At 44.1% G+C, this 17,803-nt stretch overlaps 1 protein-coding gene across 1 annotated transcript in view, besides 1 other annotated feature; it reads left to right on the top strand.

Moving 5' to 3' along the window:
- Positions 1-17,803, top strand: part of TMEM163 (transmembrane protein 163) — a 263,242-nt gene that overhangs the window by 142,768 nt on the left and 102,671 nt on the right. The window lies entirely within an intron of this gene.
- Positions 14,865-15,044: a silencer, noted in NCBI's record as "fragment chr2:135318760-135318939 (GRCh37/hg19 assembly coordinates)". NCBI's record gives its function as "represses an EF-1alpha promoter that drives an FKBP-Casp9 reporter gene in an ReSE screen in K562 erythroleukemia cells {active_cell/tissue: K562}" and the evidence as "EXISTENCE:reporter gene assay evidence [ECO:0000049][PMID:32094911]".

Genomic DNA, 17,803 nt, shown 5'->3' with positions numbered 1-17,803 from the left:
ATCTTTCCTCCTAAGATCTCCAGGACTTTTCAGAATCCTCACGTCCCCTCAATTCTTCCTCTGTATCCCCTGGTCTCACACCACCCCGCTCCAGCTGACCAGTCAAATACCTTTTCCTCAGGAGTTATTCTTGGACACGTCTGTGGCCACCACCCTGAAAACCCTCCCTTGACCGCACAGCCCTGCACCTTCAAATCCTCATCTTACTGTGCCCATGGGTGTCATTTGTTTCTTTCACTGGCTCTCCCATCTTTGCCCAGTTTCTTAAGCACAGGTGTTCCCTAGGACCTTCTGCATCCTGGGCTCACCTCTGTGTGGTTGGGTCCCCAGGAGTCTCACTCTTCCTGGGGCCTGTCCTTTTTGGAGACCTGCCTCCCCGAGACATGCCTCGTTTTGACTTAGGATGTTCTCTCATAAATGCCACCTGCTCCCACGCACCTGCTGAAATCTGCCTAACTTAAATCAAACTAGGTTCATCTGTGCAGTCTTTTGTGTTCTCTCTCCATGAAACCAGATCCTGTTTAGGAATTGCACTCTCTTATGGTCCGGTTTGGTAGGGAGCTAAAGCTAAGGACCCTCATAGCTGCTTAGCTTTCTTCTACCTTCCTAGGGTGCTGGGCATTCACTCCGTGTGGCGAGTGACACATCTCATGAAAGCGTGACCCAGAGGGATGGCATGGAGCTAGGAAAAACAATGAGAACCCTGTGTGTGTGCCTCTCTCCTCTACCAAACTGTGACCTAAGAGGCAGAGATTGTTTTCAGCCACTTCTATACATACCGCAGGCCCCTAGCATTGAAGGCAAGTGTGAGTATGACATCAGGGTGTCTGACAGCTGAGGGGGCGATTCTCGGCCTGGCTCTTGGCTGACAGCAGCAGGAATGGTGGGCACTGGGGGTGGGGTAGGGGCCTGACCATGGTTCAGATGGCAGATGGATTTGCTTCCAGAATGGCTTAATCAGGGTCCATTCTGTAGATGAAAAATCAAGGCCAACCATCTTTATAAGTTTATTCCCAGCTCTCAGTACCTGTGGTTTGTGGTCACTTACTTCCTCTCGATTCTTCCCACTCAAGCTGTGTGGAAGAAGAACCCTACAGCGCCAAGAAGGTCATTGCGTTCCCTTCCTCCCTCTGGCCTCCCATTTTGCATGCTCAGGACCGCCACATGGTCCCCTTCCCCCACCCCCCCACAGAGCCCCACATGTCTGGGCTGGCCTTGCTTGGCAAATGGACCATGCCTTCTCTACCATACAGTTACAGCCCTGCTACACCACGGGGACCTTAGTGCATATTAGAAAAAGCCCTCTTCTCCTAATGTAGATGGAACCCCATGCCAAGGTGCTCAGTCCAGCAAGCCTAACGGCCTGGGTTTCAGCAGCCACTCTATCCCTCACCTGGGAGCCCTTAGGCAGCAAATCTCCTACACAGCTGCATCAAATCGAGCCATCTGGCAGTCTGCTCCTTCCTTGCAGCTGGGAAACATGAAAGCATGCTGGATCCTGTTAATGAGCTAACCGTCCCATTTGGTCTTCAGATAATTTCTTCATCCAGGTGGACGTTTTCTTGGTGCAAATTTGAGGAACACTGGAAGACCCCGACAAGTACTAAATAATTTTGGAAAAGATGACATTTGAACACATCTTCCTAGATTTTTTTTGTTTTGTTTTTGTTTTGAGACAGGGTTTCTCTCTTGTTGCCCAGGCTGGAGTGCAGTGGCGCGATCTTGGCTCACTGCAACCTGCACCTCCTGGGCTCAAGCGATTCTCCTGCCTTAGCCTTCCGAGTAGCTGGGACTACAGGTGCATGCCACCGTACCTGGCTAATTTTTGTGTTTTTTGTAGAGATGGGATTTTGCCATGTTGCCCAGGCTGGTCTCGAACTACTGGGCTCAGGCATCCTGCCTGGCTCAGCCTCCCAAAGTGCTGGGATTAGAGGCATGAGCCATTGTACATGGCTGTGTCTTCTAGATTTTGAATAGAGCCTATGTCCTAGCTCTTTTAATGCTTGGCTATTTTTCTTCTATAAGCACAATTTGCAAATCTTATTTTTATAGTATGCACCCGCTCTGTTGCCTAGATTATAAGGATGTGCTGCTACGGTGTTTGGTAGTATGAGTTTTCTTTCTTATTCCTAATTGCTATCTTGATTTCCCAGTGTTTTCACAGTGGTTTCTAAAATTTGGCTGTAAATTCTTAGAAACATAATTAAAAACACAAACTTCTGGGCAGTAGCCAGAGGCTCTGGAACACAGGCCACATAATAGCTGATGGCTGTCTGGGCAAGCTGTGTTCTGTGGGTCCCTCCGGAAGTTCACCCTGAGAGTTCTTTACTCCCTGGGTTCCTGGGCTCTAGAAATGGAGGCAGCATTGCTACTGCATCCCAAGCAGAATGGCCCAGTTGGAAACAAAAGGCATTTGAAGTGTTGCAGAATGCAAAGACACAAAGCCTAAAACAGTGAAATAAACTAAAATTCAGTCTAAAATTTATGGGAACTGGAATCCTGGTTAACTGTGTTTTTTAGTTCTGTTTTCTCATTTTTATTATATGTCATTGCACTTAACACTGAAACAGCACAGAACTCTCGGCATCACATCTGTCTCCACCCTCTCAAGAAATGTGAATTGGCCTGTATCTGCCTAGAAGGGAGTTTGTCAGCCTGGGTGCTATTGGTATTTGGGGCCCTGATTCTTTGCTGTGGGGCTGCCCTGTACCTTGTAGGCTGTTTAGCAGCATTCCTGGCCTCTACCTGTTAGAAGCCAGTGGTGATGACCTCTCTTCCAGCTGTGACAACCAACAATGTCTCACTGCCAAATACCCCCTGGCGGCTAAAAGTGCCCCCGGTTGAGAAACACTGGCTTATACCTTTCTGATACATTTAAATACTACTTTCTAGACTGAGCCCCTTCTATCCATCAGCTTTTATGATGTGACAGATATTTCAGGTTAGAATAGGGAAGCATTCTCAGCACTTGGGTTCTTCTAGTTGCTGGATGATGCACAATGAGAATCTGTTCTGGAGAGAAATGACTGCTCTTCTGTGTTCATGCCTTTCTGGCTCCTTTGTGCAGTGTGATAATAACATGTGGGGAAGACTGAATCTCTGTTTCCTTGGGCCATGTAAATAAGCCCCTTAATTTTCTTTCAGGCCAGTTGAGCCTGAAAGAATCACAGATTGCTCAGGAACTAGACAGGGTGTGGGAGATCCCTCGGTAGCCAGTCCAGCAGCTTTGGTTGTGGGGCAAGATGTCCCAGGCATGTTGATTCTTTCCAGATTCAACAGCGTGTTGTACTTCTGGGTAACTGCATATATTTAAAAGAGGATGCGTATAAATCACACCTAAATGTCATTTGAGATCGTTGCCACTGCAGCAATCATTTTTATTCTCTAATTTCAGGAATATTGCCTCTTTGCAGGGCTGTACAGGCCTCCTTGCAGAGGTCATGAAGTGGAGCTCATTTCAGATCATTAAGCGCTGAAGGGTTTATAATAAGCACACAGTCTTCCGAATTCTGAGAGTCTGGCTTGGTAGGACAGCAAGAGGCAGCAGGAAGGGCACGTGACATCAAGCCAAGTGGGGAGGATTCTGGCCCTGGCATTTAGACCTATTGATGATGGAGGCCCAGTCAAGTTGTTTCCTCTCTGAACCACAGTACTGCTTCTGTGAAATAAAGACGTTGAAATAGATAGACCATCTCTAAGGACTCCTCCAGCTTTAAATGAAGATGTATGATTTTAATTAAGGTGGTAATGAACTGGATATTTTCAGATATAATTAAATAGGATTGGAGAGGTATCTTTGTCTAAGAGGAGGGATAGTGGTAGAATATTAAAAATTATATTCCATCAGTGAAACTTTCAAGTGAGGGATGTAATTAATGTTGCCATGGCGAATTTGTGGACTGAGAACAGAGCTATTTTCACATCAATTTGCAGTCTCTGCTCTGAAGTGGACAGACTTTGGGAAACACAGGCATCTTTGGAAGATGTTGGGGGTGTGGCTGACGACATCTTCTCTCTGCAATCCTGGAGACCTGGGTGCTGGTTCTAGCTTTGCTGTGTGATTTTGTGCAAGGTGCTCCATGTCTCAGGGCTCAGTTCTCTTTTTCATGTGAGGAATTCAACTTTGGTCTTGTGTAGAGAAGGTTAATAGAGCTGTTTTGGGATTCCCTATCCTTAGAAAAGCCTGCTTGCAAGGTTGGCCCTTGGGTACTGTTTGGCAACATAGCTAGTAAGTAGTTCCCTATGTGAATATTAAACTTTCCATAAAGAAGTATGGCTCAGTGTGCCCAAACCATTTGTACAAACCATGTGGTTTATGCTGAATACCTGCTTTCCTTCCAGAAGTCTGGAATTCTGGTACATGCCAGGCAGTATATGACCTATGCAACAAGCCCCCAGTAAAATCCCTGGTCACCGAGTCTCTAACAGGCTTCCCTGGTACACAACACTTTGCACCTGTTGTCCCAACTTGATGCTAGAGGAATTAAATATGCCTTCTGTGACTCCACTGGGAGAGGACTCTGGGAAGCTTATGCCTAGTTTCCTCCAGACTTTGTTCCATGCACCTTTTCCTTCTGCCGATTTAGCTTTATATCCTTTTGCTGTCATAAATCTTAGCCATGGGTGTGACTATATGCTGAGTCCTGTGAGTCCCTCTTGTGAGTCACCAAAGCTAGGATTAGTCTTGGGGACCCCTAATATAGGTACTCTAAAGCTCTCTGAAAACGTATTTTGTAAGTAGAATGCTTTAGATTTTTTTTTTCGGAGTAAAAATTATTTCTGTATTTCAGGTGTTTGTTCCCCTTAAATTGGTAGTGAGAAAAATGTCATGGCAGAGGCAAGTGGGGATGAGCCAGCAGAAGCTCCCCTGTTCTGTGGTCAAACCATAGCCTTGTTGGCCATTAGATAAACGCTTTTGATTGTGAGAAACACAAGCAAGAAAGGGTCAATGGAAAGCGAGACAGTATATGGGCAATGCCATTTCAGCCATTATTCTGTTCACTGTGTATTTTCCATATTGGTGTGTCCTTCTGTGTTTTTGAATTAGATATAATTGGATTCTTAAGACTGAGGCTATCTATAATTTGAGGGGAACTTGTTGAAGAAATTCCTTGTGTGAATCGGTTCCTAATTTATCTTTGAGGTGATGCCAAGATGAGTGGGGTAGTACTATGAGCTTTAGCATCAAGCATTTTGATTAAAAGAGACATATGTATGTGGTAGCAGCTGAGAGCATCACAGTTACAAGCAATGGAAATCCTCATGTTAGTTTAAGCAAAATAAATGAGAACGCATTTCAGAATGTAACTGGCCAGATTTATGGGGTCGAATGATGTCAGAATCCTGTTTCACTTCCTCCATTCTCCTTTCTCTCTTCTCTCCTCTATGTCAGCTTCATTCTTGGGCTGGTTCTCTACACAAGTGGCCTTGAATTGACCCCAAAGGGTCCTAGCCCTTACAGTATCAGGGGAGGAAGACCTTTTCTGTCGCACCATTTATCTCAGTCTCTGAAAAAGGATTCTGATTGTCCTATCACTGTGTCCAGGGAATGGGACACTCTGCAGTTTGGTCACTTGCTTTCCTCTGACGCAGGATAGGATCATATTACTGTCAACTGCTCCACTAAAAAGGAACAGCCCCTCCTTAGAAAAAAAGAGGCTTTCTTTTATTAGAAGTAAGGAGGGCAGAATGAGCAAAAATGACTATGTTGTATATGTATATGTATATGTATATGTATATGTATATGTATATGTATATGTATATATATATGTAGTAGTACCCCCTTATCTGTGGGGGCTATGTTCCAAGGCCCCCAGTGGATGCCTGTAAGCTTGGATAGTGCTGAACCTGATTGTCACCTAATGGAATACATTTCTGTTCCTGCCTTGTACCCACAAATTAATGCCTTTTCCATCTTAACTAAGCACTTATCATGCACTGTGACACTTTTGCATTTTGAGATGCAACAACAAACCTAGCACAAGTTTCTTTTTTCCTTCTTCACAACTCCACAGATAGAAGATTCATTCTTACCGTAGATCTTAGCAACATCAGCATGTGATTTTTTTTTTCTTTCCTTATTAACAACTTTCACCTTTTCACTTAAAGGAAGCACTTTACAGCATACCTTTGACATACATGGATTGCCAGCATCAACTACTCTTGCCTTTGGGGCCACTATGAAGTAAATTAAGGATTCCTTGAACACAAGCACTGAGATACCATGATGGTTGACCTGATTACCCAGGGGCTAATAAGTGACCAACGGGCAGGGAGTGTCTATGGTGTGGATTTGCTGGACAAAAGGATAATTTATGTCTAGGGAATAATGGAGTGGGGTAGTGTGAGATTTTATCACACTACTCAGAACAGCTTGCAATTTAAAACATATGGATCATTTAGTTATTGAATTTTCTATTTAATATTTTCATACTATAGTCGACTGTGAGTAACAAACTGCAGACAGTAGAATCATGGACAAAGGGGACTACTGTATATGGATCCCAGGAAAAGGCTACATGGCTTCCATGAAGTTGAGTGTTGGTTGGAGGTAGTTGATGAATGTCTCTGAGAACCGTCTCTGAGTACTGAAACAGAATACGATCTTATTTTCTTGGTGGGTAATAATTATATTAGAGGTTCGATCTGGGCCAGGGACTGGGGATGTGACTATGGCTAGAATTCCAGTCCTAACTACAAGGATGAATGTGGCTAGGGGGTCTTCATTCATATGTGTTTCATTTATATGTGTTTTCCAAGTGTTCTTTTTAGCTAAATCTTTGCAGGTAAATCTTTGACATAACTCTCGCTCCTAATGGAAATGATAAAGAAGTCGTTCTGATTGAAATGATGTGGGGGTGGGATGAGGGGCCCACTGTGGTCCCTTAGGGCTTAAACCTACAGGGTCTAAGGAACTTGTTTTGAAAAACCCTAAGGGTGGTGGTCCAACCATGGCAGTGTTCAGTTCACTGCCCTGATACCTGGTTATGAGTTATTTATTAGCACTGAGTAGAAGTAAAGCTGATGCTGTCAGGGAAGAATTATTGTCATTGGATCAAGAAAAACTATGACTCCTATTTTTATTTTCTTTTGAAGCATCAACACTGATTCATTTTTGATTTATAGCTCAATATCACTGGGAAATTGTTCTGGTTCATGTAGAATGTCAAAAACACAGCTCTCCATCTATAAAATCCTATCAGAACTCAGTCCAGGCTATTTGTAACTGGTAACCAGCGTCACTGTGGGTCTTTGGCATAGTGATTTCATGGAGTGTCTGAATCTCACTTTTGAGAGTTGTTATCTTTCATGTTTGTTCTTGTGACAGATTCCCCAGACTTCTCCTGTGAAGTTGTGTTGATTGGTTGATGGATCTGATGATGTCTTTGTGGTCGTACTCTCCTTGCTTTAGAATGCTCACAGGGCTCATGGATAGCTAATACATTTGCTAATTCAGAAGCCAGACCTAAGATTTCTTTCCTTCATTCTTTTTTCTTTCTTTCTTTGTTTCTTTGTTTGTTTCTTTCTTTTTCTTTCTTTCCTTTTTTCTTTTCTTTCCTTCTTTCCTTCCTTCCTTCTTTTTTCTCCTTTTCTTTTTCTTCTTTCTTTTTTCTTTCTTTTCCTTCTTTCTTTCCTTTTTCTTTTCCTTCTTTTCTTTTTCTTTTCCTTCTTTTCTTTCTTTTTCTTTCTCTTTCTTTTCTTTCTTTCTTGACGGAGTCTCACTGTGTCACCCAGGCTGGAGTGCAGTGTGCTATCTCAGCTTACTGCAACCTCCACCTCCCGGGTTCAAGCAATCCTCCTGTCTCAGCCTCCCAAGTAGCTGGGATTACAGGCACCCACCACCATGTCTGGGTAATTTTTTTGTATTTTTAGTAGAGACAGGGTTTCACCATGTTGGCCAGGCTGGTTTCAAACTCCTGACCTCAAGTGACCTGCCTGCCTCTGCCTCCCTAAGTGCTGGGATCATAGGTGTGAGCCACCACGCCCTGCCTTCTTTCCTTTATTCTTGTTTCTCTATGTGGCCTGTATACTTACACTCAAAGTTAATGAAAGCTGGTGATGCCCTACTGGAACATGATAGATCTGGGGCACCCCACAATATATCAGTTACCACACACTTTCAAATAAAGGGAGTCATATTTGTTGAGTAAATTACCTTATTCTATTATAAATCTTACTTAAGTCTAGTTTTATTTTAAGTTAGAAGAATGCTAAGACTATGCAGTTGCTTGGGATATGATGGCAACCTTTAAAAAGGAGAAACACATAGGTTTTCAGCCCCTAACAGAGGAGACGATATAGCCAAGTGGACCTTTTTTAGCCACTGCAGAATGTGTTCTCTGACCTTTGTATCTGCCCAGGGCTTGTCCAAGAGAGTTACATCATTGCAAAGACTTGGATCTGTTCCTCCTCCTCTTGATTCCCCATTAACATCATCCACAACTAGGAAGGAAAGGTTTTGTTGCAAATGGAGAAAGGTGCTATCTTGGGGACTTAAATTTTGGAAAGTCTCTGACTCTTTATTATTATTATTTATTATTTGAGATGGAGTTTTGCTCTTGTTGCTTAGGCTAGAGTGCAATGGTGTGATCTAGGCTCACTGCAACCTCTGCCTCCTGGGTTCAAGCAATTCTCCTGCCTCAGCCTCCTGAGTAGCTGGGATTACAGGCTTGTGCCACCATACTCGGCTAATTTTGTATTTGTAGTAGAGATGGGGTTTCACCATGTTGGTCAGGCTGGTCTAGAACTCCTGACCTCAGGTGATCCTCCCGCCTCGGCCTCCCAAAGTGCTGGAATTACTGGTGTGAGTCACCACGCCCAGCTCCTGACTCTTTATTTTGTGAATATTGGCAAATCAGGATCTATTTGCTTTGTAACTGTATAAGTGGTGACTACACCTAGGTAGTTTAAAATATCTGTAACTTAAATCTCTCGCTGCACGAGCTCTTTTTGGCCAAATCCCATTTAAGTCAGTGATGGCAAGGAACCACATAATTACTGATTCTCAGTGGCTATGTGGAAAGTGGTTTGGCTGCTTTCTTTGGTTGTGGAGCATGAACCCCTATCTCCCGCCTCAGAAATACGTGCAGATATTATACATACACAGAGTAAGAAAACCGAAGCATATGGAGGGATGTACGGTGGAATGAGAGCTGCCTTTCAACCTTGTACTCCCAGTGCCCTTCTAATGAGGAAATCATCTGGAATTTCTTGTGTAGCTTCTCTGAAATTGTATCATAAAGAAAAATTTCTGTACACACCCATGCACACACAGAAGCTTTGATAATCTATTAATTACCTTGCTTTATTCTGTCACTACATTTTGCAGCGTTACACATCTATCTTTTTCAAGAGCTTAATGATATCTTATGGTATGCATGTGTGATTTATTAAACAACTCTCTTATTAATGGATGCCTAAGTGGTTAATATTTTGTTGTTATACATCTGTAATAAACACTCCTGTATGTATTCTTTCTGCATTTGTGCCAGTATAAATGTAGAATATATTTCTCAAAGTAGAACTTGTTGGATGCAAATAATGTATATCTTACATTTTGATAAACATCTCCAAGCTGCACCTCTAAGAGGTTTCCCCACTGACACCAAATGAGACATTTGTCCTCATGCCCTCACCAGCACTCAGAATTTGCAAAAAAAATTTTTTTTTTGAGATGGAGTCTCACCCTGCCACCCAGGCTGGAGTGCGGTGGCATGATCTTGGCTTACTGCAAGCTCCACCTCCCTGGTTCAAGCGATTCTCCTGCCTCAGCCTCCCAAGTAGCTGGTACTATAGGCACGTGCTACCACACCTGGCTAATTTTCGTGTTTTTTAGTAGAGACGGGGTTTCACCATATTGGCTGGGCTGGTCTCGAACTCCTGACCTTGTGATCCACCCACCTCAGGCTCCCAAAATGAGATTACAGGCGTGAGCAAAATCCTTTTATATCTGCCATTGTAAAAGGTAGAAATGGGACGGATCTTCATTTTCTTCTCGTTTTTTCAGTTTTGCTACCTTATGTTTATCAGTTATTTTAAATTCCTTTTCTAAAATTGCATGTTCATGTTGCTTTCTTGCCTTATCTTTTAGGCTCTTGGGCTTTTAAAAAATTTAGTGATTTGCAAGTATTCTTTTAAAAATTGAAGTATAATAGACATACAGAAGCATCATTGATGAAAATCCCATAGCTTAATGAAGTTTCACAAAGTGAACATAGCTGTGTAGCCACCACTCACACTCATCTTCCCACCTGAGAAGACCTGTTCATGCCCCGTCTTTGACACCGCTCCCTGCCCTGGAGGTGACCACCAGCCTGAATTCTACCACTGTGGATTTGCTTTGTCTATTTTTGAACTTTATACAAACCAAATCATACATAGATTATCCAATGAGTGCTTTTGTGTTTGCCTTTGCTGAGATGCATACGTGTAGTTGTGATTAGCTGTAATTCATGTATTGTCATTGTTGTATTTCACTGGATGAATATACCACCAGTTTATCCATTTCTACTATTGACCAATGTTTGTGCTGTTTCCAGTTTTGGCAATTAGGAATAACACTGCTGTGAACATTTTGTAAGCATCTTCAAGTATCCATATGTATGTATGGTTTTTTTTTTTTTCTGGAGACAGAGTCTTGCCCTCAGTCGCTCAGGCTGGAGTGCAGTGGCTCAGTCTTGGCTCACTGCAACCTCTGCCTCCCAGGTTGAAGTGATTCTCCTGCCTCAGCCTCCCGAGTAGCTGGGATTACAGGCTCCTGCCACCACGCCTGGCTAATTTTTGTATTTTCAGTAGAGACGAGGTTTCACCATGTTGGCCAGGCTGGTCTCGAACTCCTGACCTCAGGTGATCCACCTGCCTCGGCCTCCCAAAGTGCTGGGAGTACAGGCATGAGCCACTGCACCCAGCCATAAGTATGTATTTCCATTGAGTATATATCTAGGGATGGAATAGCTGGGTCATGGAGTAAGATCACTTTTGTTTTTGTTTTTGTTTTTGAGACAGTCTTGCTCTGTCACCCAGGCTGGAGTGCAGTGTTGTGATCTCAGATCACTACAACCTCTGCCTCCTGGGTTCAATCGATTCGTGTGCCTCAGCCACCTGACTAGCTGGGATTACAGGCACGCGCTACCACACCTGGCTAATTTTTGTACTTTTAGTAGAGATCAGGTTTCACTATGTTGCCCAGGCTGGTCTCAAACTCCTGGCCTCATGTGATCTGCCTGCCTCAGCCTCCCAAAGTGCTAGGATTACAGACATGAACCACCGCACCTGACCTGATCAGCTTTTATAGAGACGGGCAGCCAGTTTTTAAAAGTATTTGTACTGTTTTACACTTCCACCAGCAGTTCAAGAGTTCAGTTGTATTGCATCCTTACTAACGTTTGAAACTGTCAGCTTTTTTACTTTTTAGTCACACTTTGAGTATGTAGTGGCATCTGTGGTTTTAGTTTTATTGTCCCTGGTTACCAATAAGTAGAGTATATTTTCATATGTTTATTGGTCATTTGTGTATCATCTTTCATGAAGCTTGTTAAGTCTTTCACCCATTTTCCTATTGGGTTGATTTCTCTTTCTTAGTGATTTATAAGTCTATATGTTCTGGATATAAGTCCCCTGGTAGTTATGTTTTATAAATATCTTCTCAATAAACTCGATGGCTTGCTGTTTTGCTCTTTGAAGGAGGTCTTTAATGTAGTTCAGTTTACGAGTCCTTTCCCTTATGATGAATGCATTTATGTCTAGTTTAAAAAATCTTTACCTTTCCCCAAGATTATGAAACTCCATGCCAATATTCTATTTCAGACCTCTCCTATGTTAACCTTACACTTTTATATCTACAGCTCATCGACAGTTTTCTCTATATGGAGTAAGGTAGGGTCATAATTCAGTCATTTCATATGGATGTCCAACTGGCCCAGTACCATTTATTGAAAAGAACTTTCTTTCCCCCGTGTATTTTAGGGGTACTTTTGAAATATATAAATCAAGTAACCATATCTGTGTGGGTCTTCTTTTGTTCTGTGGTCTCTTTGTTTATCCTTGTGCTAATATCATTTTATTTACTGTAGCTTTGAAATCTTCGTATCTGGTAGTGACTGTCTTCCAGGTTTTTTTGGTTGTGGTTGTTAACGGTTGTCTTGGCTATTCTCCCTGCCCACCCTGCCACCGCCACTGCTGCCGCAGTGGAGTCTCGCTCTGTCACCCAGGCTGGAGTGTAGTGGCATGATCTCGGCTCACTGCAACCTCCGCCTCCGGGTTCAAGAGATTCTCCTGCCTCAGCCTCCCGAGTAGCTGGGACTACAGACACCCACCACCACGCCTAAGGTTTTTGTATTTTTAGTAGATACAGGGTTTCTCCATGTTGTCAGGTTGGTCTCGAACTCCTGACCTTAGGTGATCCACCTGCCTTGGCCTCCCAAAGTGCTGGGATTACAGGTGTGAGCCACCGTGCCTGGCCTGTCTTGGCTATTCCTGATTCTTTTCACTTTCCACATGAACTCTGGCTTCATCTTATCAATTCTGTCACCACCTGCTAGGATTTTAATTGGCCACAGTGAGGCTTCCAGTCCACAAACATGGTATGTTTCTTCATATATTTAATAGTTGTCTTTAATTTCTCCTAAAATATTTCATTGCTTTTCTAGGTAGAAGTCTTGCATATTTTTTTAGTTTCATTAGTTTTTTCCTAGGTATTTGATAATTTTGTTGTTTTGAATAGAGCCTTTTAAAAATTACATTTCCTTCGTTTGTGGCTAATATAGAAATAACTGGAATTTGTGTATTCACTTAATGTGTGGTGGCCTTGCTGAATTCACTTCTTAATTCTTTCTAGTTCCCCTATTCTGTCTGCCAGTTTGCCAGTGCCTCACTGCTCTAATAATTGTGACTTTGTGGAGAACCAGGCATGCAGGGAGCAGCAGGCAGCTTTAATTTGAGTACTTATTCTCGGGGCACCTGATCTCAGTGATCTACCTTGGGGAACATCTTCCTGCCTTGAATATAAGAGAAGACTGCCTGGCTGGCAGTGGAGCCTTGGCTCCTCTCGTTGATGGAATGGTGGTGTCTGATTCTTGTATCGGTGTCTGTCTGAGCACGCACTCCTTTGGTTCACGCCTTTGCTCTCTAGTGTGTAGAATATCAGGAAAGGGTCCAGGGGTGGATGCTGGAGCTCAGCTCCAAGCTTGCCATTGCATATAAGGGACAATCGTTTGGATTACTGATGACTGTGCCATCTAATTGTGGAAAAGTCTAAGCTCTGCCCAAGATTTGATTGAGACATATTATCAGCTGTCAGCATCTTCTCCTAGCATGGTCTAAATTTTAATGTATTTTGTAGATTCCCTTTATAACTTAGGTTATTGGGGGTTGGCCATTTTCTGGATCTTTGATCATTTTATTCTTTTTCTAGTTTTTTCATGTTTCTTGTTGCTTTGGGTTTTATGGAGCAGGGTGGTGAGGAGAGAGGACAAAAGGGCTGTATTCCACCATGTTTAACTTGTATTCTTTGAGTGATCACGTTAATCTTCAAATGACTTTGATTCAGATCAAATGAGTTGGTGTTTGTTCAGCATAGTTTCTTTAAGCCAAATCTCTGGACCCTTATTCAGTGTATTTTTCTTCTTCATAGTATGTTCTGTTCTTTAAAATGTTTCTTAAGCGACTTTTCAAACCAAAGAGGTTCAATGTGTTTGGAATCAGCAGTGCAGACCAAGGGCCATCTCAGTGGCCTGGCAAGGATGACCTTGGGTGACAATATCCATGCCTTTGCTAGCTCTTCTTGCCCGTAGTGTTAGCTTTTGGTTCTGGTCTGAATTGACTGTCACACATTAAATAAAAGCCAGAAATTATAATTGGGGGTTAGAGATTCTTCCAGTCTTGTTCAGTTTAACAAGGATTTTTTGAGCACTGACAATGCACTTGTGCTTGAGCACACAGACCCTGAGGATAGAGACAAATATGATACAACCCTTGACTTCACGCTTTTGTGTGCTGCTTGGGAGAAGGCAAGGAGCATTTCTGTGTTTTATAAAAGAAAGGCAGCTAGGGGCAGGGAGCTTTGGGGCCCAAAAAGACACCAAGCCAAAGTAAAAAGAATGGACTGAAAATGAGTTTACCTAGAAACAAGCTTCAAACTCCCAGCAACCTCACAGGTATTTAACATAGAAGACAAGAGAAGATAAAATGCGAAAGTTCTGTTCTATAAATTTTATCCCCATCTCTGTTTATCTAATGAATGCTTTACTTACTGGGCTAAAGGAGCTGCATTCTATGATTAAGGGAAACATAAGGCTTTAAAATGTATGTTTTATCAAATTGTTGGGCAAGCAACTGCTGTATCCCCAGCTCAGCAGAATAGTGTGGGACACATAGTAGGTGCTCAGTAAGCACTTGTTGGTTGAATGAAAGACTGATTAGTTGAGCGTGGCTACTCATGTTAGTCTGGCAGTGTGGGTTGCAGGACATGAATTGAGTGTGGTCTGAGGACACCTGACCAGGCCTGCCTCCCACAGGCTTACTTGATAGCTCTGCTGGCATTGTGGGCAACCCTGGCACAAGGAGGTGTAAGAGCAAGTGTTAGGAAAGTGTGAGTGACATTCAGCAAGAACCTTGCTGCTCACTTTGGGAGGCCAAGTCAGGCGGATCGCGAGGTCAGGAGATCGAGACCATCCTGGCTAACACGGTGAAACCCTGTCTCCACTAAAAAATACAAAAAAAATTAGCCGGGCGTGGTGGTGGGTGCCTGTAGTCCCAGCTACTCGGGAGGCTGAGGCTGGACCTCGGATCACGAGGTCAGTAGATCGAGACCATTCTGGCTAACACGGTGAAACCCTGTCTCCACTAAAAAAAAATACAAAAAAATTAGCCGGGTGTGGTGGTGGGTGCCTGTAGTCCCAGCTACTCGGGAGGCTGAGGCTGGAGAATGGCGTGAACCCAGAAGGCGGAGCTTGCAGTGAGCCAAGATGGCGTCACTGCGCTCCAGCCTGGGCGACAGAGCGAGACTCCGTCTCAACAACAACAAAAATAATAATAATAAAAGAACTTTGCTGCTACTTTTAGCTCTGGCGTGTGAGGTCTGTGTAGCAAATGTGCTAACAAGTTGAGGGGCTGTATACGCCATCGGAGACGGCGGAGACGGCCCATAAATGCTCATAAAAGTTGGTTAACTGTGCCTTCAGGGGATGTTCCTCCTGCTTATTCCCAGACTGAAGAAGCAGCACAGTGAAAGTGTGCTGTGGTGTTGAGGAAGTTTTGTCATTAAAAGCTGGGGTCTTTGTCTTTTTGTCTCTGAGCTGGTGACTCCTGTGTGTGAGACCTCTGAGAGCTTCTTGAAACCCAGGTCTCTCCCTGTTGAGTGGCAGGCATCCTGCCCATGTCCCAGGAATGCCGATCCCTGCTTTGGAACGGGGGTCATGTGCATTTCATGTTACGCAAACTGAAACAGAGCTAGTCTGGTGGTGTGTGGTAGCAGGAACAAGGGTGCCCTGGTCCATGCTAGAGACTTTCCTTGGGTTGTTTTTATTTGGATTTTTTTCCTGTTATACTATTCTGTGTTGGCTCTTGGCTTTCTGGGTCCGGGGCTATCCTTACTCTTTCCTTAATCCTAGATCTTTGCCATTTGCAAATGCTTCAAGCTGTCCCTAAAGCAGTGGTCCATTTAGAGGCTGGTTTCTCCATTGTGCCCCAGAAAGTGCCAGCTGCGGCTTCATTTGCTCAGGGAAGGGCTTCTGGGTAGCACGGCTGGGCCTCCCGGTGTTTTGAGCCCTTGGTCCTGTCTGCCTTCTCCCTGAAGGCTCTGTTTGCTGCATGCTGGAGCTAAGGGGAAGGTGTTAATGAATCCATCTGAAAGTTTTCCATGTTCTATGTGTTTAGGCACTGATCTTGGCATTCGGGATACATCAGGGAACAAACATTCAAAGCTTTTGCCTTTGTGGTGTATATATTCTAATAGGTGGGAGTAGGGTGGGGCAGATGAAACCTACATAAGTACATAAGATAATGTGGTAGATGAGATGTACTTCAGATAAAGAAAATTTAGAGGTGGGTGACAGAGAGCTCAGATTGGGAACGAGGGCAGGTTTCATCGTTAAATGCGGTGGCCAGGACAGCCCTAACCTGAAGGAGGGGAGGGAGCAGGCCAGGCTGATCCCTGGAGTAAGCTTGTTTCTGGCAGAATGAAGAGCCGTGGCCTGGCTGTGGGGAGGTCAGCGAGGAGCCCCATGTGGCTGGAGTGCAGTGAGCAGGTGTGGGCCGCAGAAGAGGAGATCAGAGAACAGAGGCTTCCTCCATCCTAAGGACCATGGCCTTTCCAGGGAGGCCAATGTGTACAAGTACCAGGGGCATGGAGGGATGAATGACAGTCGCTGCTTCCTGTTAGAAATTGGAGTGCAAGTGACCTTTCATTGCAAAGTGGCCCAGAACACTAGCAAAAGGCACTCCCTACCCCCATAGCAGCAGCTCGAGGGCAATATTTTCTAACCTCTTCAAGCCCATTTTTGTGGGTTTTATAGGTTATTGTGGGTGTGGGATTAGGGGCGGGGTTGTATAGTCCCTTTTTGTATGTAGCCACCCATTCGTCATGTGAGAGAGACCCATGATCATCCCTGAGGTCTTGGCAAGGGTTTGCCTGAGACAAACACTTGCTTTCCTAACAAACACTTGCTCTCCAGACAGGCAGAGCCCCGGAGGGTGGCAGGCCAGTGCCCATGGCCTACCTAAGGCTAATAATGGTTCTCAGGGTTGTCTGTAGAAGTCAAAGAGCTCTCAAATAATGGTTTTGGCTTTGAGAACCTGGCCATGGTACAGCTTTTTGTAATTTGCTGAGAGCCAGACCTTCCAGTAGAAAACATTGGGAACCACAGTCCATACAGCAAAATGAATATTTAGCAGGCACTTTGCTGGACATTGCTGGACATAGCAGGTTGCTCATGCCCTACATGTGAGGTCCAATACTCAAGCCTTACGGGGCCAACTAGATGCCACAGGGGCCAGGCAGGTGGAAGAGGTGAGTGAGGCAGGCTGGCTGTGATGTTGCAGGAGAGGTGTGTACCCCAGAGCACATGCCTCATCTGAACGTAGCATTGGCACCACTGGGAGAAAGGGACAGCCAAGGGTGGGCAGATTTCAGTGTTTTGAGAGAATCCAAAGATCCAGATTGGTGTTTTCATTATTATGTTTTCTTGTTAGGCAGCAGAGGAGGTGGAACTAAGAGGGGTCCAAATTTATGTATGTGTGTATGTATTGTGGATGATGGAAAGATGGTTCTCCATTTGAGTTAATTACATGGCTGGAGGTGAGGTTGTTGCCAGGCCCCTGTGTAATAGAGGCTGTCCAATTAAAGTAGGATTGATTTATTAACGAAACTTACAGTCACATAATTTTGCAACTTGGAGGTGTTACGGGGCCTGGGGGCATTGCTGAAGAGTGCTAAGGCTCAAGATAATTGTTGCATGACTTTGGAGAGAATGACAGATGGGTCCTCATTTTTGCTGCAAATCCTGCCAGCGATTGAAATGGCATTCTTTGTTTAAGGTTGTGGAGGGGCTGTCTGCACTGATCCTCTGTTGCCTTGCTGGCATCCTTACCTCTTTGTGCATTTCCAAGGTATTTTGTCTCTACTGTCCAGAACCCTCCCTCAAAGCCTGCTGCTGATTCAGCTGCACGATTTAGCTTTGCCCTAACAATGGGTTGCCTGGGTCCTGTCCATTTTCCAGCTGTCTTTCTATTTGAATTTGAATTTCCAGCTGATATGCTTTCTGGCCTGGTGTGTGACTTAGTTAAAGAAGGTCTGGTCTTTTAACCA

The sequence above is a fragment of the Homo sapiens genome, chromosome 2, assembly GCF_000001405.40.
Source record: "Homo sapiens chromosome 2, GRCh38.p14 Primary Assembly".
In the NCBI taxonomy this organism is placed as follows: domain Eukaryota; kingdom Metazoa; phylum Chordata; class Mammalia; order Primates; family Hominidae; genus Homo; species Homo sapiens.
Note: the sequence above shows the minus strand (reverse complement) of the source record. Positions and strands in the feature narration are given on the sequence as shown.